The 27177-nt window shown below is 41.2% G+C and overlaps 1 long non-coding RNA gene across 4 annotated transcripts in view, besides 1 other annotated feature; it reads left to right on the plus strand.

Moving 5' to 3' along the window:
• The window catches only part of LOC105374910 (uncharacterized), a 102802-nt gene that overhangs the window by 20523 nt on the left and 55102 nt on the right, over positions 1–27177 (plus strand). The gene's annotated exons all lie outside the window — the stretch shown is intronic.
• Positions 1165–1710: an enhancer, noted in NCBI's record as "OCT4-NANOG-H3K27ac hESC enhancer chr6:8180101-8180646 (GRCh37/hg19 assembly coordinates)". NCBI's record gives its function as "activates a minimal SCP1, AML or CMV promoter by ChIP-STARR-seq in primed H9 embryonic stem cells {active_cell/tissue: H9 hESC(primed)}" and the evidence as "EXISTENCE:reporter gene assay evidence [ECO:0000049][PMID:30033119]".

Here is a 27177-nt window from a genome sequence, read left to right on the forward strand (position 1 = left end):
CAGAGACTATTGTATTTGAAAATTATCATTGGAATTCCTTTTATTTCTTTTTGAGACAGGATCTCACTGGGTCACCCAGGCTGGAGTGCAGTGGTGCAACCTCGGCTCACTGCAGCCTCAACCTCCCTGGCTCAAGTGATCTTCCCATCTCAGCCTCCTGAGTAGCTGGGACCACAGGTGTGCACCACCACACCAGGCTAATTTTTAAAAAATTTTTTGTAGAGACAAGGTCTCACTATGTTGCCCAGGCTGGTCTTCAACTCCTGAGCTCAAGTGATCCACCTGCCTCGGCCTCCCAAAATGCTGGGATTACAGATATGGGCCACCATGCCTGGATTCATTAGAATTCTTCATTAAAGTTCTGGGGATCCCAGCCACTTTGGGAAGCAGCACAAATAAATTTAAGTGGAAATATTTGCTACATCTTTTGCAAAAATTGTTGTTATTTATAGTTAGCTTCTCAAAATTAAGTTGCCAGGTGGAAACATAAAAGTGAGTAAATTATTGTCCATTTGTTTGGACAATAATTGTTTTGGACTTGTTTGACACCAAAGCATGTCTACTTTTGGTGTCAGTGGGGACTAGTTGAAGAAGAGGTCTCTCTCTTTTAGGTTTTGGTCAATTTAATCCATTTATCTAATGAATGTTTACTGAAAATCTATAATATACCAGGTACTGTGCTGAACACTGGAGTTAAAGAGTTGGATGAGACACAGTCCTTAGAGAGAGACTCATAGTTTACTAAGTAGACTAACACGCAAATCTATAGATTATAATACATGTGATTGACGGATTAATAGGGATGTGGATTCCATGTTCTGGGAGCACAGAAGAGGGAAGATTCTGCTCTACTGGGGTCAAGACAAACTCCACGAGACGAGGCAGGGTCTTGCCTTGAGTTTTCTTGGATGTTGATGAGCCTCCAGCCTTCACTCTGTATTGTATTGACAACTTCAGGACCACTCATCCCTTTCCTGCAGGGCCAACTCAGAAGACAAATATCATTCAAAACTGAAGTTAAATGGCTGGTGCCTCCCAGCCTGCTGGGTTTCCCACATCCATCGCTTCCTAGGGAATACCTGAAAATGAGGTCAGCACGAACCAGGTGGGCTCTGAGCTTGGGTCCAGCCAGCCCCTTTCGTAGTTTGGAGGAGAAAGGCGGTTATTATGCTAGAAGCCCACAGAGCCCACAGTGCACCTCTTCTGTGTTTCAAGAAGGCTGTTTTTGTATTTGCAGCCTGGTTTCAGGTGTGTGGATGTCAGAGAGATTGATGCCATCTTCAGTGACCTGTGATCACACATCCTTACAGCCCTCCATCTTTCTGCCTTGCTTAGCAAATTCCACGGACGATAACTCCAAATAGAGCCTTTGGAAAAGGGCACCAAGGACAAACCTGGCCTGTTTAGAATCTAACTTCGAGTCACTCTTCTCAGTTCTTTACTCCCCTCAATTAAATTGGTTATTTGTAGAGTTTCCCTGTCTTATTTAATACAGTTTTAATTTCTTTTCTCTCTATCATTACTCTTTCTACCCTCTCTTCCTCCTACTCCCCCTCTTTCAACCAAATTGCCTAAACCATTTTTCACCCTTTGCTTTGATGGCAACCAGTATAAATAAAACCAGAGCAGCAGCAAGTACCCCAGGAGAGGGGCGAGGGGTCACCGAAGCTGCCCTTGGAGGGCTTGGCTGGGCTTTCTGAAGTCAGATGGGCAGCTTGTTTCATGCCCCAAATTCCTTTCTGTTATCCTCCCTGCAGGCAATGTTTTTGTTTTTACTGTGGTTCAGCTCCCTGGAATGCAGAGCTCTTTTTAAAAGCTGACTGAGTGGAGAGGCTTGTGTCTGGGTAGCCTTTCTCTTGACCTGGAGAGAGAACTTGGGGGTGGGGAAGGAAGGGGTGGATAGAGTCCAGAGGAAGAAGTGGCTTTCTAAGACAGCAGCACTGAGTGTGTTTTATCTCTGAGATTGGTGACTCTGTTTCATCCATGAAGATGGGTTTGCTTGTTAATGTAACTTCCTGTTTTGGAGGTGTCACTCAAAAATATTAAAGCTTTTAGCATTTGAGCTCTGGAGGAAAAATGATTTTTGTGTGCCTGGGTGCCTGAAACAATCCAGGTCTACTGAATTCTGATTTTGAATGCCTGAATAAAGATGAGAAAATCAAAGCAGACAAAGAAATAAACATGTCTTGACTGCTTTTCCTGTGCCAGGACTTTTACCTACACGTCTAATTTAATTGTACAGTAGCAGCCCTCTGAGTTGCTGTTAGCGTTCTCATGTTACCGATGCCAAAGCTTGGGTCCAGGAAGCTTAGGAAGCGAGCACAGAGCTGGCGAGGGGCACAGGCGGGACTCTTCATCCGACTGTCCACTCGCCGAAGAGATAGCATTTGTGTCTTACCAACTTCAGGGAGGTGTACACATTTTGCTCTGTTACTAGCAAATGCTACATACTAGACTCTCACTACAACATTATTAGGTGTGCCTGAACAGAAATGGCACCTGCAAATAGAGCTTTATGTAGAAAACTGAAGGGCATGATAAAGGTTGGATGTGCTAAGCGCCTCTTAAAATCTTCCTGCTTCCCTCCCTCCCTTCCTTCCTTCTTCCCTGTCTCCCTCCCTCCCTCCTTTACTTTCCTCTCTTTTCTCTTTTTTCCTTCTTTCCTTTTCCTCCTTTCTTCCTTCCCTCATGTCTCCTTTCTCCCTCCCCCCTCTTTCCCTCCCTCCCCTCCCCTCTTTCCCTTCCCTTCCCTTCCCTTCTTTTCCCTTCCCTTCTCTTCCCTCCAGTTTCACTTGCTATAGAGATATGACGTACACACAGTTCAAAGACTGAGCATACATCATATCAAGGACACAGTTCCTGTCCTTGAGGAGTATCTGTCCATCTAGGGGGAGGCCATATAAGCAAATTGCTCTGATGTCCCATGGCAAGTTCTGTTGCAGAGGTTTACATTCAGTTCTGCAAACAGAGATGAGGGAGCAAGTAATTTTGCTTGGGGAAGTTAGGGGAAGATAAAGAGAGGAAGTGCCATTTCATCTGGGCCTTGAATATTGGGGAAACATTTACTGGGGGCTAGGGAAAAGGCATGTTATAGGAGATGAAAATGCACTTTAATTCAGGGGCACAAATAGGACCAGGATGGTTGGATTTCAAGTACAGTGTGAGGGCTGAGGCTGGGAAGGCAGCCCTCGGGTTAAGTCTTCTCCTCTGGAAGGGCTTGGGAAGATATTTTGGGAAGAAATAGAGTTTGACATGAGTCCTGGGGTCTGGGTAAAATTTTGAATTATCACAGGAGTCCAAATGTCCCTGGGGAGTGGGGCTGTAAAGTCTACACTTTCATTCTCTTCTCTGACCCATGGACATTTTGCACAGGGCAGTGTAACAAGTCACTCGCCTCACAGAGCCCTCTGGGAAAATCCCGCAGAAATTCGGAAGTCATCTCTTCCTACTTGCAGTGGATACCAGACTCTTTCTCAAAAAGCTGAGCCCATTCATGTAATAGAATTGCCCTTGAAGAAATACCGGAAGTTATTGGGAAAGAATTTTTATTTTTGTCGTGTGGAAATAAATGAAGAAAAATCAAATGAGAATAAGCAAAGGCTGTTTACTTACTCAGAACGTGCTATGAGCAAGTCAGCTGCCATCACTTGTCTTTTGGCAGAAACTCAGAGGCAGGCAGAGGAGTGGGGAAGCTTCATAGTGGGGGAAAGGGAAGGCTCGGAGAGTGTGCTGATTGGAGGCTGCTGGTGCGGGAAGCTGGAGGGGGCTCACTGGAAGTGAGGTGTCCCATGGGATTTGGTAGAGTGCAACTTGGCTTTCTCTGCTTGGTCCTCAGAAATAGGGACAGAAATTAGAAAAACTGTCAGTTTTTAATTAAGTCCTGGCCCTTTTGGAGCAAATGTTACAACGGTTTTTGTTTTGCTTCCTGGATGGTTACTAGAGATAGCGTCTGACTTCCTAAAAGTCTGTGTCATAGACATCAGGCTGGCTTCCTGGGCTGGCTCCTGCAGATGATGGGTTGGTTTCCTGGGCTGGTTGCATAGATTGTGGGTCACTTTTTAAAAAATGTATGTCTGCTTATTTGTATATTCACCCTCTGTCTATTTGTATTTTCAGTCTCTCAGTCCATATACCTATGTGAAATAAGAGATCATCTCTGGATTTCAGGTGGGCACTATGATTGGAGTGTGTCTGGTAATCACATAAGGAGCTGCACACAGAGCTGAAGAGTGCAGGCCAAGTTGTGTGGGTGTTCACAAGGGTGCCAGGCTGTTGGGGCCGGCGTGGGGCTGAACTCGAGCCTGCTGCTCATAGGGGCAGCATGCCTGGAGGAAGCAACTTTGTTAGGACAGCTCTGGAAATGTCCTACATGAATGGTTTGGCTTCTCTATTCCTTTTGACAGACAGTAGCTTGGACTCCATCCCAATAAAATGTTTGACCTCTCTCAGATGGAAAACAGAAGCTGGAAGCTTATCGTTGCTACTGGAAATAAAGACCAGAGAAGAAAAGACACTTTTTTTTGATGAGACCTTATAACAGATGTGCTGCTTAGGCAGAGCAACATATGACTTTAATAGAAAAGGAACTTTCCTCTTCTCCACCCACCCTCAGTTTTGGAAGGTTTGATTGAAAAGGGGAAACTCTCTTTTTTTTTTTTCCTTTAACTAGTATCAGGTGTCTTACTGAGGTGGTTGGGTAAAATAGTCAAAATATTTTTACAACAGCTGTAAACGGTTTTACAATACACTTACTGTTTATGAGGAAGGCTGACGTGTTGGGGAGTTTTCATGGTTGTGATGGGCGCAGAGCAAGCAACCAGCATTTCTTAGGGGGTTTTGCTAAAAGGCGTTAATCCTGGTCACAAAGCCAAGTATAAAATTTTAGTGGCTTCTGAAACTGTCGCCTTTTTTTATGTCCCCTGTCTGAAGCTCTCTGGGAACCAATTGAGTCTGACACAGCTAAACATGTTTGCTTCTGTGAACTGTGTTTATGAGGCCATGTTCACTTAGAGGCAGAGGGAAGATGGGAAAAGAAAGTGGAAATATTGCTTTTAAGTAATGAGTGAAGTAAAACAATATTACTAGTGTTTTGTGTAACTTTCTAATTTAAATTGAAGGGGTTTTTCCCCAAGTCAAATGGCATCTTTTTACATAGAAAAATTTAACAATTGAAAAATTGAAAAAAAGTAAATGAAGATAAGGATCTGCTTTTTAAAAAGGCAAGGATAAAGATATAATGAAATAGCATATATCAACTTCTTTTGCAGGGTCAGGGAGTAAATTTACATTATTAGCGTCATCTTTAATAGTCTATTGAAAATAACATAGTTTAATGATCTTAATAATATAAATTCTTGGGAATTAACAATTTTCTAGAAAATTGTAAAGAAGTTCTCATTAAATGGACACCCACAAGCAATACTGAGAGATGATTACAATTCAGCAGGAGTTCTTTAGAAAGCAACCGTGAAATATGGCTACAACAATTTTGTTCTTATCTATGTTAAGGATACTGTATAATCCTGAATGATGAAGGTACAAATGGTGCGTTGAAATGGAAAATTCAATTTCTTACTCTATGTTCAGGGGAAAAGTATTCCTGAGAGTTTACCTCCTAGCTTTTTTATGACACCAAACAACAGAGATTGTAAAGGGTCAAGGGAGAGGAAACAAATGAGAATGTTTAACTTGTCTGAAAGGCAAGTGACACTTATTATCTGTTCATTTTGCATTCTGAAGTTACTTTGTTTTTTAAAACAGGACATGAGTATTTCCACTGGATCTGAAATTAGAAGAGGGAAAATATTTTTCAAAAATCCATCAAATTGGTAGGCTATGTCAGAGAGTTGCTGTGCAGTCTTACAATGTGTATCTTCCTTTTCTCAGTTAAGGAGGATAATCCACTGTTCCCTTTATTGGTCTGTTATGAGGATCTATTGGAAGTGACTGCCTTGTCAGTTATTCGTTCAGTCAAACGAATGAATACCCATGTTCCGGGAACCAGGCATGTTGGTGGGGTACAATGTAACACATGCCCCACCCTCATGCAGCTCACACGTTGAGAATGTCTAGAAAAAAGCATAGGGCAGTCACGATTCAGTGCTGCCAATTCTACCACGGCAGGAATTTTACCCAAATACAGAAGGGCCATAATCACTCTCTTTAAAAAATTGCCTTGCCTTATTGTTTAATTTTTTAAATTATATAAATTTTTTTCTTCAACTTTTATTTTAAGCTCAGGGCTACATGTGCAGGATGTACAGGTTTGCTACATAGGTAAACATGTGCCATAGTGGTTTGCTGCACAGATCAACTGTTACCCAGATATAGATATATAGATATAGATATCATTAGATCTCTCATATATGTATGTGTGTATATATATATATAATTTTTTTTTTTTTTTGAGACTGAGTCTTGCTCTGTCACCTGTCGCCCAGGCTGGAGTGCAGTGGCGCGATCTCGGCTCACTGCAAGCTCTGCCTCCCGGGTTCACGCCATTCTCCTGCCTCAGCCTCCCGAGTAGCTGGGACTACAGGCGCCCGCCACCACGCCCAGCTAATTTTTTTTTTTTTTGTATTTTTAGTAGAGACGGGGTTTCACCGTGTTAGCCAGGATGGTCTCGATCTCCTGCCCTCTTGATCCGCCTGCCTCGGCCTCCCAAAGTGCTGGGATTACAGGCGTGAGCCACCACGCCCGGCCATGTTACCCAGGTATTAAGCCCAGCATATACTAGCTATTCTTCCTGGTGCTCTCCATTCTTCCCCTCAGCCCCCACCCACCGACAGGCCCCAACCAGTGTGCGTTGTTCCCCACAACGTGTCCATGTGTTCTCATCATTTAGCTCCCACTTATAAGTGAGAATATGTTGTGTTTGGTTTTCTGTTCTTGTGTTAGTTTGCTGAGGATAATGGCTTCGAGCTCCATCCACGTCCCCACAAAGGACATGATCTCATTCATTTTTATGGCTGTATCATATTCCATGGTGTATATGTGCCACATTTTCTTTATTCAGTCTATCATTGACGGGCATTTAGGTTGATTCCATGTCTTTGCTATTGTGAATAGTGCTGCGGTGAACATGCACATGCATGTATCTTTGTAATAGATGATTTATATTTCTTTGGGTATATACCCAATAATGGGATTGCTGGGTCAAATGATGTTTCTGCTCTAGGTCTCTGAGGAATCGCCACACTGTCTTTCACAATGGTTGAACTAATTTACATTCCCACCAACAATGTAAAAGCATTCCTTTTTCTCCACAACCTGCCAGCATCTGTTGTTTTTTGACTTTTTAGTAATTGCCATTCTGACGGGTGTGAGATGGTATCTCATTGTGGCTTTGATTTGCATTTCTCTAATTATCAGTGATGTTGAGCTTTTTTTCTTTCTTTTCTTTTTTTTTTTTTTGAGACGGAGTCTCGCTCTTTCGCCCAGGCTGGAGTGCGGTGGCGCAATCTCGGCTCACTGCAAGCTCCGCCTCCCGAGTTCACGCCGTTTTCCTGCCTCAGCCTGAGGAGTAGCTGGGACTACAGGCGCCCGCCACAGTGCCCAGCTAAGTTTTTGTATTTTTAGTAGAGACAGGGTTTCACCGTGTTAGCCAGGATAGTCTCGATCTCCTGACCTCGTGATCCGCCTGCCTCGGCCTCCCAAAGTGCTGGGATTACAGGCGTGAGCCACCGCGCCTGGCCTGAGCTTTTTTTCATATGTTTGTTGGCCACATGTATACCTCCTTTTGGGAAGTGTCTGTTCATGTCCTTTGCCCACTTTTTAATGGGGCTATTTGTTTTTTTTCTTGTAAATTTGCTTAAGTTCCTTGTAAACTCTGGATATTAGACCTTTGTCAGATGGCTAGATTGCAAGCATTTTCTCCCATTCTGTAGGTTGCCTGTTCACTCTGATGATAGTTTCTTTTGCTGTGCAGAAGCTCTTTAGCTTAATTAGGTCCTAATTGTCAATTTTTGCTTCTGTTGCAATTGCTTTTGGCATTTTTGTCATAAAATCGTTGCCTGTGCCTTTGTCCTGAATGGTATTGCCTAGATTTTTTTCTAGGGTTTTAATAGTTTTGGATTTTACACCTAAGTCTTTAATCTGTCTTGAGTTAATTTTTGTATAAGGTGTAAAAAAGGGGTTCAGTTTAAATTTTCTGCATATGGCTAGCCAGTTCTCCCAGCACCATTTATTAAATAGGGAATTCTTTCCCCATTGCTTGTTTTTGTCAGGTTTGTTGAAGATCAGATGGTTGCAGGTGTGTGGTCTTATTTCTGAGTTCTCTATTCTGTTCCATTGGTCTATGTGCCTGTTCTTGTACCAGTACAATGCTGTTTTCGTTACTGTAGCCTTGTGATACGGTTTGAAGTTGGGTAGAATGATGTGTCCAGCTTTGTTTTTTTTTTTGCTTAGGATTGCCTTGGCTACTCGGGCTCTTTTTGGTTCCGTATGAATAAAATTATATAAATTTCTTAAAATTTAAATTAAAACATTTAAGATAATGTAAATAGGATGATACCATATTTGTTAATGTTTTTTGATCTTATTTTTTCTTTTTTGTCCAACGTTCACATGCTTCTTTCTTATTCTTTTCTCCTGTGTAATCCTCCAACAGATGTTTACAGCCTAGAATATATCTTTATTTTTCTTTATGCTCAAATAATTGTATACACACATATATTTACATGTATTGCATAGAAATGCAAACGTAAGGGTTTTGATCATTGCATTATATAAAAGTAAAATTATACAGTCATAGGGCATAGTATAACTTGATCTGGTCTTAGGATTTAAATGAGGAAATTTATCCTCAGGCCATGTAACATGGAATAATCTTTGGTAATTTTTATTTCATTCATTCAAGCAGAATAAATAAAATAATGCTCCAGCTATCTTTAATCATTGCTAAAACTTGTAATGAAAAACGCAAGAGCCTCTTTTCTTCCTTGGTCTACATGCTGCCTCATAGCCAGCTGAAGTGATATATTGTTCAGAATTTGAATTTATTGATCATATTACGTTTTCCAGAAATTCGCTAAACAAGGGGCTCTAATACATGTGCAGACAGGTAGGGAATACCCCCAAATGTACCTGGGTTATATCCTACCCCTTAGACAAATGGTAATAGGGCCTTGCCCGCTCAGGTTTGGTGATGATCCGATTTAGCTGCATCTATCACTGGTTGTTGCTCTTCCTATTGCTCCTAGTGGTAACTCCAGGCTCTACTAGAGAGTGACTAGTTTATTCATGTGCTTCTTTAAGACCACTCTATTATATTTAAAAATAATCAAACTGATCCACACATACAGAAGCCTAATGAAGTCCTAACCTTGTCTTCCTTCTGCTCCCAAATGAAGAAGATGTGGGGAGAGAGAAAGTAGGCTTGAAGGGAAGTCCATCTCTGTCATTTCAGGACAGGCTTGGCCCTGTGCAGAGCTTTCTTAGAGCCCAGACTTTCAAGTAGTACCAACAGATTGGGGCTCCCAGTTCTTGGTGCCTGATGGTCAATCACAGAGCTGACCTAGCAAGGGGGATCTTGAGAGGGTCCACGGAAGATTGGTTTTATTCACAGGCTGTCCCCCTACCAACAGGTTTTCCTACCAGCAGGTCCCAGGCTGCCACCCCTCCCTGCAGTAAGGATTTTTGGAAGAATGCTAGTTGTCTGAGTATCTTGCCCTAACTGCCAACTTCAGTGAATTCTTTACAAATGGTTCTCAGAGAGCTACACAAGTTGTGTAGGAATTTGGTGTATGGGACAGAGGAGTGGGAAGGAGAATGGGACAGAAAGGGAGGAAAAGGTAGAGGAAGTGGGAAGAAAGGGAGGAGGAGAAGAAGGGACAGGATGAGGCTTGCCTAGAACCTCAGCTCCGTTAGGAGAGACAGACTGGATCCCATAGTGTGGGATGGTAACTCTCTTCAGTTAGTTTTAAAAATGACATGAGTAATGAGTGGGGAAGGAAAGAGCAGCCAATGGGATGGTTTAGAGGAAGCCATGAGACCCAAGGGAGGAAGTCTGGCAAATGAGGGTGAAGCAGAGTTATTAGATCCTTTGGGAGAAAAATCCTGGAAGACTTAGGCTGATCCTATTTTTGTAGGGATCACTCACACCATTATCTAGTGGGGCAGTTGATGCATGACAGCTGCCCATTGATGTCTGTGAAGGTAATTGCTTGCTTTAAAGTTCATTCATGCTGCTAAAACAGAATATCATAGGCTAGGTAGTTTATAAACAAAAGACATTTATTTTTCACAGTTCTGAAGCCTGGGAAGTCCAAGATCAAGGTGCTGGCTGATTTGGTGTCTGGTGAAGGCCCACTTCCTTGTAGATGGCATCTTCTTGCTGTGTCCTCACGTGATGGAAAAGTGAATGAGATCCCTGAGATCCCTTTTATAAGGCCACTAATCCTATTCATGAGTCTCCACCCTCATGATTACCTCAAAGTGGCCCCACCTCCTAATACCATCACATTGGTGGTCAGGATCTCAATACATGGGAATTTGGTGGGGGGCACACAAACATTCAGTCCATAATAATGCTACAAACAGATTTTCTTGGAAGTTGGTTGCCTCTTTGGGAATAGCAAGAAGGTACTCAGATGTAAAGTTTGCAGTTAGCATCTTCTTTTGCTTTAAGTTGGTTTATCATGATAAAATTAGAGTTGGCACCCTTAAAAATACTTAAGACTATTTGTACACATCTCTTCTGCATATATTTTCTTTCCCTGAGCCCATTTTTATAGTCTTTGAAGCTTAAAATATAAACCTCCAAATGACCAACCCCATCTTTTGCTTGGCATTCTAGTGATCTTTATTTTTTTTTTTTAGAATGGCCTCAGGCACCAACATTGTGGCAATGTGTGGGGTACAGAAGAGTGGCTGTGATAAAGTAACTCAAAAGAGGTTAGGGTTTTATTTAAGTACAGGGTAGGGAACTATTCTAAGTGTGATAAGCCATCTTCCTGACCAGTGAGGAGCTAGTGAAAGGTAGCTAACCTTCCACAATGCTTCCAGAGGGCTGGAAGCCCTGACTTTTTGCAGCTTGGCAGGAACATCTGTAAAGGCTTCGGACTGGAACCTGCAACTTGCCGGCACTAGTGGGAAGCTAGTGATCTCTGTGTCTGAATAAAAGGTTGATGATTTTTATGTAGATACAAATTCAGAGAAACTGTCAGTTCTCTAATAACATATGGAAAAATTCTAAATTATAAAATTTTTATTATTTTCTTAATAATAAGATACTTTTTGCAGCACTTATCAGAGCCCTTTTATCTAGACTTGTGAGATTTAGCAAATAAGAGTAGTATTTTATCCCGCAATTCTGCCTTTATCCCATTAGCAATATTAGCATTTCCATCCAAATAGATCATGCTTACATTTTCTTTTTTTTTGAAACGGATTCTTGCTCTTTGACCCAGGCTGGAGTGCAGTGGCATGATCTCAGCTCACTGCAACCTCTGCCTCCTAGGTTCAAATGATTCTCCTGCCTCAGCCTCCTCAGTAGCTGGGATTACAGGCATACGCCACCATGCCTGGCTAATTTTTGTATTTTATGAGTAGAGAAAGGGTTTCACCATGTTGGCCAGCCTGGTCTTGAACTCCTGACCTCAGGTAATCTGCCCACCTTGGCCTCCCAAAGTGCTGGGATTACAGTCGTGAGCCACCATGCCTGGCCATGCTTACTTTTTTAGAATATTCACAGAATTGCGTGTCCATCACTGCAACAGATTTTAGAGCATTTTCATTAGCCCAAGAAGGTACTCTGTACCCCTGTGTCATCTATCTTCCCCCAATCTTCCCCACCCTCTGCCAGCCCTAGGTAACCACTAATCTACTTTCAGCCGCTATAGATTTCCTTATTCTGAACATTTCATATAAGTGGAATAATCCATTATTTGTCCTTTTGTGAAAGGCCTATTTCATTTAGCATGTTTTTCAGGCTCATCTGTGTTGTAGCATGTGCCAGAATGTCCTTCCTTTGTAAGGCTGAATAGTTTTCCATTGTACGGATAGACTACATCTTTATTCATTCATCTGTTGATGGACATTTGGGTTGCTTCCACCTTTTGGCTGTTATGATTAATGCTGTTACGTGCATTGGTGTACACGTATTCGTTCAAGTTCTTTCTTTCATTCTCTTGGGTACACACCTAGAACTGAATTGCTGGGCTGTGGGGTAAGACCATCTTTCACCATTTGAGGAATTGCCATGCTTGCTTTAAAAGCAACATGCAAGTTTTTTTTGTTTGTTTGTTTGTTTTTTTGTTTGACAGAGTCGTGTCCTGTCACCCAGGCTGGAGTGCAGTGGCGCGATCTTGGCTCACTGTAACCTCTGCCTCCTGGGTTCAAGCGATTCTCCTGACTCAGCCTCCTAAGTAGCTGGGACTACAGGTGCCTGCCACTATACCCAGCTAATTTTTGTATTTTTAGTAGAGATCAGTTTTCACCATGTTTGCCAGGCTGTTCTCAAACTCTTGACCTCCGATAACCCACCTGCCTCGTCCTCCCAAAGTGCTGGGATTACAGGCGTGAGCCACCGCACCCAGTCCCAACATGCAATTTTTCTATGATTTTAATTGTAAACAAAAATTTTTTTAATTTCTATTCATCCCTTTTGCTGTTTAAATTGGGTAATGTTCATATAATGCTGCGAAAGACTTCCTTACTATCTGCTTTCCTGCCCCCAGTAAAAAGGAAGAAAAAATGGAGAAATTATTTCTATATCAAATAAAATGCAAAACAGGAGAGGAAGTTCCTTACATAATTACATTAAAAACTGATAGTGAATTTTTTGAGGAATACTGAAAATCCTTCAAGCCTAGGAATGTTTGTAAAGTTCTGAAGCTTTGCTTGTTCCTGAATATTAAAACAGAGCCAAAGGTTTTCCTTTTTATTATTTTGAATAAAAAACTCCAAGAACCCTTCATGTAAATCTCGACACTAAGCCCATCTTTCCTTGTCTTGCCCCTTGAATCATTTATTTAAGCGGGCAATAATAAAAGGTGTCAGCAATTCAGTTGTGAGCTCTGGAAGATTTCTGTGCGCATTGACCTTTAAGCATTTGCATCTTGACAGGTGAGCTGTTCTTACTGTTTCCTGTGAGATATGGTGCGGCCAAGGGGTCAGGCATGCTAATGACAAAATTACCATTTACCTTTTACCTGGCAGGCCCGGTGCCTGACATTATAAATGTAGGTAACCTTTCACCTGAAGCTCTCTTTTGCTCTAGTAGAGATTATGTCGGAATGAACTTACTTATGGTGGCAGAAGAGTTATGGGCGAAGAAGGACTGAATTTAGTGCATTTTTTTCCCTTTGGGTTTCTTTTTGGGGATGCCTTTTCTCTCGCAGTCATTCTGCATAAAACATTACTGTTCTTGGTGTGGGGCTAGAGGGGGGTGATTGGAGCAGGGTTAGGGGAGAAGAATGCTGTTTTTGTCATCTTGTGTTCTTGACATTTTTGAAGCATGGCTGTTTCTCTCCTTTCTCTAAAGCTGCAGGTATTAATGAGGTTTTACTGGTGGCCCGCCTTCATCTATAACTGCCGTCCTTTTCCTGCTGATTCCAACAGAATGGCATTTCAGGGCTACTGGATACCAGATACGGTTAAGTAGTTAGGGGAACTGGTGGCGATTGGCAGAGATGCAGGCCTCTAGCGGATGCAGAAGGAAAATAAAACACAGAGGGGCACCAGCAACAGGAGGGGTCTGAAGAGGCAGAGGGCAGCTTGGCCAAGTCAAATAAAGTTAATGAAAGATCATGTGATTGCCAACTTCTTAGGCTAGCCAGTTGATGCTGTGTATGTCATCTTTTGACATATTCATCGGTTAGTCTTTAAGGTGTCATGGGGTGAGTGCATTCTCTATAATAACACTTAGCTAAATATCCTGAGACTGGCCTGGGCCAAAATTAAAATAAGAATGCTTACATTATTAGGTAGTAAGATTCATCAGTGAGTGTCTACTTCCTGGTGGTGCTGAGTGGAGCCAAGGAAGGGGGATAGAAGGAAGGGAAAGAAGAAAAGAAAGAGAGAGTGAGGAAGAGAGGAAAGGAGGGAGGGAGAGAGGGAAGAAAGGAGGGAAAGAGGGAGGAAAGGAGAAAGGAGAGAAGGTGGGGAGGAGAGATGGAGAGGGAGAGAGCAGGAAAGAGGGGAAAGCCTTATTTTCTGCTCTTGGTGGAAAACCCTTCCAAAGCAAGAAACCTAGGTCACTGCAGCCTAATAAGAGAGAGTGGAAGATGTGTGGGGCTCTCCTGCCTCCAAGCCCTCTTCTCCACCTTCAGAGAGATGGATGGTTAATAAGGAGCCAGGAATCCAGTGATCTCTGGCCTCTGCAAAGATGTCTTTCACTTAGTTTTTCTTGGTAAAGTGGTGCATAGGACTTCAGTGACATTTGCCTGGTGGTTATGAGATACTTTTGTAAACCAAAAATAAAGTTTGGAGGCCTGCCCCCAATCACCTGAGTGGATTTCCTCCTCTAGGTCAGGGCCCTCCAAACTGAACCTGAAAGGCTGGCTCAGGCCATGATGGGAAGATGGGGTGGACATGCCTCTTTATGCCCTCCTCCCTTTTGGATTTAGAAAAGCTGACCAGCATTTAACACCAGCACAAACCTTAAGTCTGAAGAAACCTTAAGAAACCTTTACAATCGGCTGGGTGTGGTGGCTCATGTCTGTAATCCCAGCACTTTGGGAGGCTGAGGTGGGTGGATCACCTGAGGTCAGGAGTTTGAGATCAGCCTGACCAACATGGTGAAACCCCATCTCTACTAAAAATACAAAAATTAGCTGGGCGTGGTGGCGCACACCTGTACTCCCAGCTACTTGGGAGGCTGAGGCAGGAGAAGCACTTGAACCCTGGAGGCAGAGGTTGCGGTGAGCTGAGATAGCACCATTGCATTCCAGCCTGGGCAACAGCTCCATCTCAAAAAAAAAAAAAAGAAAAAAAAAAAAAAAAGAAACCTTTACAATCCGGAAAAGGATTGAATCGTGGCTTTATTATCCTTGAGGACAATTCTATGTAATGTGTGGAAGATGAGAGGATTCCAAAGACATTCCTTTCCTCTTACAACCTCTTATAAGCCAGACATTCCTTTCTATTGATAACAACTCTTTCAACCAGTTGCCAATGAGAAAAATTTTAAATCTACCTACGACCTGGAAGCCTCCCCACTTCTATTTGTTCTACCTTTCTGGAGTGAACCAATGTATATCTTGAATGTATTTGATTGATGTCTCATGTCTCCCTAAAATGTATAAAACCAAGCTGCACCCTAACCACCTTAGGTACATGTTCTCAGGGTCTCCTGAAGGCTGTGTCGTGGGCCATGGTCACTCATATTTGGCTTAGAATAAATGTCTTCAAACATTTTACAGAATTTCACTCTGTTCATTGATACTTTGTAAATAATGATAATTAGGAACCCAAGAAGTACTGCCTGCTTGTTTAGCGTGTTCATTTAGCTCAAAGTTTGGTACCTTGTAGTTGTCATATGGAGTAAATCTTCAGCCACAAAATCTCATTATGAATGTATTCCAGGAAGGAGATATAATTTTTTTGGACCATTTGCAGCATATTCAAATGAAAGCTGGTGCTAATGAAATTATTCTCATGTAATTAGATGTATTAAATAATGTCCCAGGTTGGTTCAATGACATGGTTGGATTGCTAATTTCTCTTCTTTCCAGGCATGGAAAGAATTCTCCCTGAAGATTTGTGCCACAAATAGCCCCAGAAGCTGGCTGATTTTGGAGTCATTGCTGCACTGAACCCAGAGCTCGCCATGGCATCTTGTTTAAGAAAATTAAGTTTTCCCATTCTTCCTCTTTAAGCTGGTGACCCTGGGTGGCATGGAACTCTTACAGGAAAAGCTTGGAACTCTTGAGCTCAAATCCAGTGTGTTGACAAGGTCCCAGTGGGAACCCCATTCAGGCTGAATGAATTGGCAGTCATTTCCAGGCTTATCAGATCACATTCTCCTTGTCTTACTTAATTTTGTGAATCAACCCCAACTCAGGAGACCAGAATCACAACAAGAATTTCATTTTTGCCAGACAAAGGGCTCAGCCATGCATTCAGCCATCAAGTTTTCCTTGTCCTTCCCTGGGTCTGGAGTGATATAGACTGAAACAGTGGATCCGTGTCAGGTTTTACTCATGGCTGGACTGCCTTGTCACGCTCCTTGGCACCGAAGGAGTGTGATTGAATGTGTGTAGCTGTCAGAGGCAGAGGGGAGTCAATAATACCTGATATTTGCCTTGAATTCCTGTTTTACCTTCACACAATTAAATCTTGCCTTCACATTATTTCATTTGCTTTACTTGGAAAGGAGCTCTAACCTTGAAAAGGATTGAAGTTGTGGCTTTATTATCCTTGAGGACAATTCTATGTAATGTGTGGAAGAAGAGAGGATTCCAAAGAGATTCCTCTCTTGTCTTTTCCGTATCAACTGCTTTGAGTCCTTTGTTTTCTTTCCTGGGCTCTTGTGTGGGTGACACATCTGTGTTTATATACAGCTAGGCCATATCTCTCTCCCAAAGAGGCAGAAGAGCCAAACTACATGTCTTCAGGAGGGGGAAGCAAGTTTTTCTCAACCTTAGTGAATGATGTTTCTAGAACAGGGTGGATCTCTAAGCCCTTAAGGATGATGCTGTCTGTTCCAGAGAATTCTATATAAAGTGTATGTGTGTGCACGCTTCTTTCAGTTTTCTTCTCTTAAGAAGACAATTAGCAGCAGCATTCAACATAGAGTCCTCAAAGGATGAAATCCTCCCAACATTTAACTTGGGTCATTTGGGAATGTGTAAATGTAGTTACTCTTCCAGGCCACCGTGGGGGGCTATTTGGTGTACTCCTAAATGTAGGACTTTTCACATTGAAAAGAATACACTGGAACAGACTTCCTGATTCACATCAACCAGCCAGGCCTGATCCTTTCATTACAAGGTAATGCATTTTGTAGATTGAGTAGGAAACTAAATAGGCAACCCTCTTTAGGGATGTAGATATCTCTGCTTCAGAAAATGTTTATTGATTCTTTAGGTTCAGAACAACATTAATCATGCAAAAAGCCAAAGACCCGAGACTCAGAATCTGGTATCAGGAGACAGGGGAGCTGCTTTTCTTTTCACAGTAAGACTTATGTCAACACATTTCTGAAAATGAATCAATAGTCAAATAACTCAAGTGACAGATTGATCATTCTGGCAGAGAACAAAGTCTATAAGATGTCATACAATCAAAACAGCAACAACACGTAAGGCATTTTATTTGACATTACTCAAAATTCTACTGATCCTATCACATTTAATACGTCTTTTTCCATCAGCCTCTGGAGATAGGAAGATAAAAGTAACAGTGAGATGAAATGTAGCCATTACATTAGAAATATGAACTTGCAGGGTGCTTAACGCTATTTCAAATACCACTTTAAAACAAAAAATAAGGTTACACATTCCATATCCGTTTAAAGTAGACTATGTAATATGTTATTTGTAAGGTCTTTAATAGATTATAAAACACTTTTTAAGTATCATTTCAATTAAAATTTGACTTTATTTTAGCTGTTTTTTCTTTAAAAATTTTTTTAAATGAAATTTTAGCCTTGCAATTTTTCTCCTATAAAATGGGCTGTTTTTTACTTGCTCATCAATACAATATTTCTTTTCTCATTTTTAGTTCTTTGTAGGTTGAACCTTGCTGTGGAAGCCCGAGAGCTTTTAACAAAAGAGCTTGGGGGAAGATAGGTCAGAGTTCAAATTCCTATGTCTGCCTTTTATTGGCTGTTTGACCTGGGCTGGTCTTCTGGTCTCTTGAAATCTGCATTGAAGCACAAAAGGGTATCAGAAGAGTCTGTTAAAATGATTGTAAGGCAAGGATGAGTTATATGCTTGGCATGTAGTCAGCACTCATGATATTATTGAATATTATGATCAATATCATTACTACTATTACTCCTATATGAAAGCTGTCTGTTATTCAGTATTTTTCTCTAGAAATCTCTATCACAGGAAAACAATGCAATCCGTAAAATAAGTGTTCAAAATAATGATCATAAGGCATTCAAAAATCCTGAATTCTTGAATTATCAAAGAAAAGTTATGTTTTGGCAGTGTAGCTTGAATGATATGTATATTATAGTATACTGTAATTCTTATATGTTTATATATACTGACCCTCGATGTATGTATTACTTCACTGCAATATTCAATTAATCAACACTTGACTAGGCTGCATAATTTAAATTTTTTTAAATTTCAATAACTTTTAGGGTACAAGTGGTTTTTGGTTACATGGATGTGTTGTATAGTGGTGAAGTCTGAGATTTTAGTGTACTGATCACCTGAATAGTGTCCATTATACCCAATATGTAGTTTTTTATGCCTTGCTCCTCTCCTACCTGTCCCCTCTTCTTAGTCTTCAAAGTCCACTGTACTGCTCTGTATGCTCCAAAGCTTAGCTCCCACTTATAAGTAAGAACATATGGTATTTGGTTTTCCATTCTTGAGTTACTTCACTTAGAATAATGGCCTCAACTCCATCCAAGTTCCTGCAAAAGGCCATTATTTTATTCTTTTTTATGGCTGAGTAGTATTCCATAGTGTGTATATAGACCCACTATATATATATATGTATACACACACACACAATATATATATAGATACAACATATGCTATATATATACTATATATTATATATACATAAACTTTCTTTTTTTCCTTTTTCTTTTTTTGATTTTAATTTTTAAATTATATTTTAATAGTTTTTGGGGTACGGGTGATTTGTGGTTACATATATAAGTTTTTTAGCGATGATTTCTGAGATCTTAGTACACCCATTACCCAAGCAGTGTACACTGTACCCAATATGTAGTCTTTTATCCATCACCCCCCATCCAAGTCCCCAAAGTCCATTATATCATTCTTATGCCTTTGTGTCCTTATAGCTTAGCTCCCACATATAAGTGAGAACATATGGTATTTGGTTTTCCATTCCTGAGTTATTTCACTTAGAATAATGGCCTCCAGCTCCATCCAAGTTGCTGCAAAAGGCATTATTTCCTTCCTTTTAATGGCTAAGTAGTATTCCATGGTGTATATATACCACATTTCCTTTATCCACTTTCTGGTTGATGGGCACTTAGATTGGTTTTATATCTTTGTTTGTGCAAATTGTGCTGCCATAAACATGCATGCACATGTGTCTTTTTCATAAAATGACTTATTTTCCTTTGGGTAGATACCCAGTAGTGGGATTGCTGGATCAAATGCTAGTTCTACTTTTAGTTCTTTAAGGAATATCCATATTGTTTTCCATAGTGGTTGTACTAGTTTACATTCCCACCAGCAGTGTAACACCATTCCCTTTTCACCACATTCAAGCAAACATTTATTGTTTTTTGACTTTTTAATTATGGCCATTCTTGCAGGAGTCAGGTGGTATCTCATTGTGGCCATGATTTGTATTTCCCTGATGAAGTGATGTTGAGCATTTCTTCATATGTTTGTTGGCTGTTTGTACATCTTCTTTTGAGAAGTGTCCATTCATGTCCTTTGCCTACTTTTTGATGGGATTATTTTTGTTTTTCTCGCTGATTTGTTTGAGTTCCTTGCAGATTTTGGATACTAGTCCTTTGTTGGATACATAGGTTTCAAACATTTTCTTCCACTTTGTGGGGTGTCTGTTTACTCTGCTGATTATTTCTTTTGCTGCACAGAAGCTGTTTCATTAGGCCCAATTTATTTATTTTTGTTGTTGTTGCATTTGCTTTTGGGATCTTAGTCATAAATTCTTTGCTTAAGCCAATGCCCAGAAGAGTTTTTCTGATGTTATCGTCTAGAATTTTCATGGTTTCAGGTTTTAGATTTAAGTCTTTGATTCATCTTGAGTTGATTTTTGTATAAGTTGAGGAGATGGGGATCCATGTTCATTCTTCTACATGTGGCTAGCCAGTTGTCCCAGCACTATTTATTGAATAGGGTGTCCTTTCCCCAATTTATATTTTTGCATGCTTTATCAAAGATAATTGGCTGTAAGTATTTGGCTTTATTCCTGTGTTCTCTATTCTGTTCCATTGATCTGTGTGCCTATTTTTATACCAGTACCATGTTTTGGTAATTTTAGCCTTGCAGTATAATTTGAAGTTGGTATACCACATTCTTTATCTACTCATTGGTCAACGGGCGCTTAGGTTGGTTCCATATCTTTGTAATTTTGAATTGTTAGGCTGGATCATTTTAAGTTTCTTATATTCTGTGTGTCATCAGGCAAACCAACAGATATATAGCGGAGAGAAATTATAATTCAATTCTGAGTAGTGAGTGAAACCTATAGATAATAATAGTAAATAATGCTTAATTTTATTTATTTATTTATTTAGACAGAGTCTCACTCTGTCACCCAGGCTGGAGTGCAGTGATGCAGTCTCGACTCGCTGCAATGCCCACTTCCCAGGTGCAAGTGATTCTCCTGCTTCAGCCTACTGATTAGCTTGGCTTTCAGGTGCATGCCACCACGCCTGGCTAATTTTTGTATTTTTAGTAGAGATGGGGTTTCACCATGTTGGCCAGGATGGTCTCAATCTCCTGACCTTGTGATCAGCCCGCCTCGGCCTCCCAAAGTGCTGGGATTATAGGTGTGAGCCACCGCACCTGGCCGAGCAAGGGTCTTTTGAGAGGTGACAGTGCCCACTACTTAGATCGGTGCACAATTGATAACTTACGAATTGTTTTATTTCTGAGATTTTCCATTTTATATTTTCAGACAGTGGTAGACCACAGGTAAACCATGAAAAGTGAAGCCATGGATAAGGATGGACTACTGTATAATTAACCTAAGTGTCTGTCAACGGGTAAATGGATTAAAAAAACTGGCGTATATACACAATGAAATACTATTCAGCCTTAAGAAAGGAGGAAATCCTGTCTTTTGTAACAACATGGATGAGCCTGGAGGACATTATGCTAAGTGAAATAAGCCAGGCACAGAAAGACAAATAACACATGATCTCACTTATATGTAGAATCTCAAAAAGTTGAAATGGAAGCAGAGAATAGAATGGTTACTGGGTTTGGGGTGGGGATATGTTGGTCAAAGGATACACAATTTTGGCTAGACACAAAGAATAAGTTGAAGAGATCTATTGTTTCTGTAATTGGTAACAATGTATTGTGCACTTGAAAACTGGGAGGAGAGAGATTTTAAGTATTCTAACCACAAAAAATGGTATGTGAGGTAATGCATATGTTAATTAGCTTGATTTAGCCATTTCACAATGTATACATCTTTCAAACATACAGTTTTCAACAAACATTTGGTGCACCATAAATAGATATAATTTGTATTTATCAATTAAAAAAAGAGAGAATTTCTGAGACCATACCCTGGGAAAGGAAATAGGTCTGGTGTAGGAAGCCCTTATTCATTAAAACTTTTCAAGTGATTCTGGTGTGCATTTAGTCTTTTGGTTGTAGTGACTCTGAGGAGTGCTTTACTCAAAGAAATTAGTCTCTAATGAAGAAAATTTAGGCCTGATGACAGGTCAGTGGAGGGCATAAGTTGAGGCTCATAGTAGCATTCCTATTACCCTTAAAAATCACAATATGTAAGATTAGTTTTATTATTCTCTGTACCAGAATTCTCTTTAATATGCTTGATGCGGATCATAAAAGCTTATAGCTAAGAATCTGATTATTTCAAGCTGTTAGTTGAGCCAGACTTGGCTTATTTCAATTCCTATTTCAGAGAATGATATAAAGCTACTTCCTGAGAGTGTTCCCATATGTACGTTTTTCCATGGCTAAGCCAATGGCTAAAGTGAAAAATACAGAAGAAAAACACTGCAGTGACTTGGGTGGTCACTATAGGCCATATTCTGACTCAAGCTACTGGAGTTGCAGGTTCAGGCCTGCAGTATGTCCTCGGACTCCTTAAGGACTGATTTGATGGACTTTTTCTCATTAAAACTTTCTGGAAGTGCAAGTCTGAGGCATGTGGAAATAAGCGAAGACCAACCAAATGAGAAGAGGCAATGGTTACTTATTCAGAACTTGTCATAACAAGGGAATTGGTCAACATTACTTGTGCTTTGTTAGCAACTCACATGCAGACAGAGGAGTGGAGAAGCCTCAGAGTGGAGCAGAGCAAAGGCTTCAGGCGCGTGCTGATTGAGGAAACTGGAGACAGCTCACTAGAAGCAGGGTGTGTGGTATGAATGTGTCTCCCCCAAATTTATCTGTTGAAACTTAATTGCCAGTGTGATAGTATTTAGAGGTAGGGCCTTTAGGAGGCGATTAGGTAGTGAAGGTGGAACCCTCATGAATGGGATCAGTGCCCTTATAAAAGAGGTTGTTGGGGGGAGTGAGTGCATCCTTCTGCCTTCCGCCAGGGGAGGACACAGCCACAGGGCACCATCTTTGAAGCTGAGAGCAAGTCCTCACCAGACAGCAGGTCTGCTGGCCCCTTGATCTTGGACTTCCCAGCCTCTGGAACTGTGAGAAATAAATTTCTGCTATTGTAAATTACCCAGTCTAAAGTCTTTTGTTATAGCAACGTGAATGGATGGAAACACAGACATCCCATGTGATTAGTTAAGAGGACATATTTGACTTTCTCTGGTTGGTCCTAAGTTGGAAGTGGGAGCAAAAGTTAGAGATTAATTTTTCAGGGGACAATTAATGAAGTCCTGGACATTTTGGGCCAATTGTTATGGATGTTATTGCTTGACTTCCTGAACTGGTTGCTAGAGGTAATGGTCTGACTTGTAGATGGACAGTGGGCTGGCTTCCTGGATTGGTTACTATAGATAAGGGATTGGTTTCCTTGGCTAGTTGCTGCAGGTCGTGGGTTGGAGTTCTATTTTTGTATATGATCTGGCTATTGTCCATGTGTATTCAATCTCACAGGCATTATCTTCTATTGCGGAGGCACCTGGCTTTACAGGAACTATGTTGTGGCAAGAGAAGGACTTGGCTATTGATGAGAAACCTCTGTTTCACTTTAGAATCCACAACCAGAAATGTCCAAGTGAGCGAGAGATATGCAAAGCTCCAACTGGCACAGACTGGAATTCTAGAGTAAAAGAAAATCCTCAGGACTCCGCATGGTGCCCTTTAAGTACCAAGCTGCTTAAAATATCATTCTGTTTATTGTAATTTGATGTGTGAAATTCAGGCAGGCATTTACAATTCAGATCCCATTCCTAAGGGATTCCCATTTGGGTGTGTTCGTATGACTTATTCTGAGCCTTTCTTCAAGTATGGACGCTTGAGATTGTTAGGTAAAATGCACATAGATGCTCAGAGATGAAGTGTTTATCATCATTACCTCAATGAATCATTCTCCAGCCTTGACAGGTTCTAATGTCCCCCATGCTTCAACGCCACCCACTCTGTCTTGCTCTTTGTCTGAAGCGTGTTCTCTTTCCTTCTGCCCACCAGCACCCCCATCTCAAAATTTCAAAGTATTCCCCTTATCAATCATTTGGATTTAGCTGGGGGCAGAGGGGGCGGGGGTTGCTGGACAGCAGCAGAAGCTTTGTCCAAATACCTTATAACAAGAACAACAACGTGGTCATGGCCCCTGTTTGCTGGGTTGGGGAGAATGGGGCAAGAAAGGAGGAGGGGGACCTGCTGCGACAACAGACCCAGGCTGCCACCAAGGGGGTGGCAGCTCCCTTGGTGAGTGCAGTCCCCTTTGCTAAGAAAAAAATGGAGCTGTTCTCACGGCTCGACCTTCTGTTCCCTGGGACTACTCTGGAAAGGGTCCTCATTTCTGCTTTTCCAAACAGGGGGCTTCCATTTCCATCAAAGGTGATAGCTGAGTTAGGAAAACTGAGTCTGGCCTGGTGAGGCTGCATTTTTCCCATTGCTGGCTCAAGGGAGACTGTGATTCTCATGACAAATTATGTGTTCTACTTTTAGCTCTTTCCACCGGGTTATACTATGACCTTGGGCAAGACCCTTGACCTTTCCGGGTTCCCCCTCCTCCTCTTAGTTTCTCCTCATCTGACCAAAGCACTTTTTAAAAAAACCATGACCGTGTTATAAAACAAAATGTAGAATAGATGAAAGGAAAATGTATGATCATGAATCTAACAGGAACATTGTTGATGTTTCTTCCCATTCCTTTTTCTATGCTTTAAAATTATAGTTGCAATCATTGAATCTCTACCTGAATAGCTTGCTTTTTTTTTTTTTTTTTTTTTTTTTCCGGGACATGTTCCTAGGTTGCTGAATAATCTTTATAATCATGATTCTTAATAACTTTATAATTTCAAGATGTATTTCTTAGTCTCTTCCATTTAGCTCACCTAGAAAATATACTGGGAATTGAGATACAGTAAAATCCACTGAGAAATTCTCCTTGAATTTCCTCTTGTTATTTTCCCTTTCCTTTGAAATATTCAGGGGTTTCTTTTTTAGAGTAGGAAATTAGCCAGTGCCTTAGAGATAAAATGCCCAAATAAAAACAAAAATGAACCTCAACCCCACACTGCCCCCAGACAAACCCAAACACTGGTTAACTCTCTTTTTAAAGTTAGTCTGGGCCGGGTGCGGTGGCTCACGCCTGTAATCCCAGCGCTTTGGGAGGCCGACGTGGGTGGATCACGAGGTCAGGAGATTGAGACCACCCTGGCTAACATGGTGAAACCCAGTCTCTACTACAAATACAAAAAATTAGCCGGGCATGGTGGCACGTGCCTGTGATCACAGCTACTCAGGAGGCTGAGGTAGGAGAATCGCTTGAACCAGGGAGTCGGGTTGCAGTGAGGTGAGATCATGCCACTACACTCCAGCCTGGTGACAGAACAAGACTCCATCTAAAAAAAAAAAAAAAAAAATTAGTCTGTCCATATTCTTTCAGTAAAATGTTCGATTCTTCCAACTCTTAGATTAAAATGTCCCAAGGAGCAGCCCCTGGGCTTTATTTTTGGGATTTGGTGGTAAATCTTCCTCTGGATGTCAAGTCTCCTCAAAGTCTGCAGGAAATCCTACTGGGACTTGGAGATTGTGACATCAGATCTAGTTAGAGCTGTTGAGTGCAAGGAACTGCAGATGTCTGAACATGCCAGGAGAGAGAACTTGCAAAGACCTACAACCAGCATCCCGCTGGATTAGATGTGTGGCTTTTTCTGTCCTCAGGTTACCTGGGGAAACAAATCCCACAGAAATTATTTGATCGCCCCCCTCCAGAGCATACAGTGAACAGATGAGAGAAGGTATCTGTACTATGAGAGCCTCTCTCTATTGTGCTCCCCATAAAAGGCCAACAGCCTAAGAAGGCTTCACTTTCTCTGGGGTGCTATTGCACTGCATCATATACAAATATCCATATGAGGGGAAGAAAGCAAAGCAAAACTTTTCCTCTTTTTTTTTGTTTTTTTGAGACGGAGTCTCACCCTGTCACCTAGGCTGGAGTGCAATGGCCTTATCTCGGCTCACTGCAACCTCCACCTCCCGGGTTCAAGCGATTCTCCCACCTCAGCCTCCCAAGTAGCTGGGATTACAGGCACTTGCCACCACGCCTGGCTAATTTTTTTGTATCTTTAGTAGAGACGGGGTTTCACCGTGTTGGCCAGGCTGGTCTTGAACTCCTGACCTTGTGATAAGAGAGAATTTTTCCTCTTTTGGATAAATCATTTCCAACTGAATTCATCATGGCCACCTATCATATATCACCCTTCCTCCTCCCACCATATTGCACCAAATCCAGCTGCTGCTCCCCTGGATTTCATTCTAGTCAGGTAACTGGGGGTCATCCTGATTTTGACTTTTAGTTCTCACATCCAACATTCACATGAGTTTATTAACTCTACCATATACAGCTTTCATATCAATGTGCTTCTCCACTCCCCTACGGTACTGCCTCATTTCATGTTCTCATCATTTGTAAACTAGATTTCTGGGTTACCACAATTTCTTAACTGATCCACATACTTCCAGCCCTGTCTTCATACCACATGGTGTCCTTTCTCATGATCAGCCAGTGTCTGCCAGTCACTTGCATGGGAGTCTTCATTCTCCTTTGTCTGTCTGACCATGCCACTCATCAGACCATATTGCTCCTCGGTAAATTACATGCAGGATTCTTGGCATGGCAGACATGAGACTGCATATCTGCTGCCTTCTTTCCTGCCCAGCCTGATCCTCCCTCCTGATCTCTTAAATCAAAATATCACTTGGTGCAGTCCGGGAAGACACATTTTTAAAAAGCTCCCTGGGCAATTCTCATGTATGGGATCCATTGATAATTATTTGGAAACTAGTATTCCAGAAGCTCAATAGGATGCCATTTATGTCTCAATTTTCCTGTAATCAAGCCTCAGGAAAGGATGCATCATAATGTATTTCAGTTACTGAGCCCCCTTGGGTTGGGTCCAAGATGGAATTCTGTTATGGTTAATTCTGCATAAAAGATTTTGTTGATAGTTAAACTGCGGGATATTAATGTTGCTTGTACCTGAAAAGATTGTGTGTGGTAAGCCTTCCTGTGCACTAAACCAGTCACGTTATTCCCCTGTCTTAATTCAGGGGCAGCATACCTCCTTATACCCAAGTCTTAATTTAAGAGGAAGAGAAAGGAACAGGAAAGAATGTGGCGAGATATAAGAACAAAAGAAGACTGCCCCACAAAAGAGCATGGCAAAATAGCACAAATGGGAAATATTGAGTTGCCAAAGTTTAGGGAATTAATGATCATGTATACTTTCATATTTTATGATTTTACCATCAAACATGAGTTTTTAACAATAAGGAAAATGCTGATTCTATAAGGTTCAGGGAAATGTCAAGATGCAAAATTGTTTTTGCAATCTCAGTTGTGTAAAGTATGTTTAGAAAACACCTTAAAATACTGTATTAAGTTAATATTGCTTCTCTCTGGTGCTGAGATTATTGATTTTTAACTTTTTAAAAAAATTTCTCATCCCGATGTTTTTAAATTTTTTTGAGTTCACAGACAGTATGTTTGGAATCAGAAAAATATAAGCTAACTTTTGATTGTCGTTGTTGGAATATAACAGGAAGAGATATGAAAGTGATAGAGAAGTAGGCAAACGATGGTGGAGGGGGGAGGGAAAGAAAAGGGGGAGGAACAGAAATAAAAGAAAAGGAGAGAATATGGGGGAGGAAAGAATATGGCCACAGGGCGAGGACATATTATGTCTGAAGCCTGAGGACACATCATTTTAAG

This window comes from Homo sapiens, chromosome 6, assembly GCF_000001405.40.
Source record: "Homo sapiens chromosome 6, GRCh38.p14 Primary Assembly".
In the NCBI taxonomy this organism is placed as follows: Eukaryota; Metazoa; Chordata; class Mammalia; order Primates; family Hominidae; genus Homo; species Homo sapiens.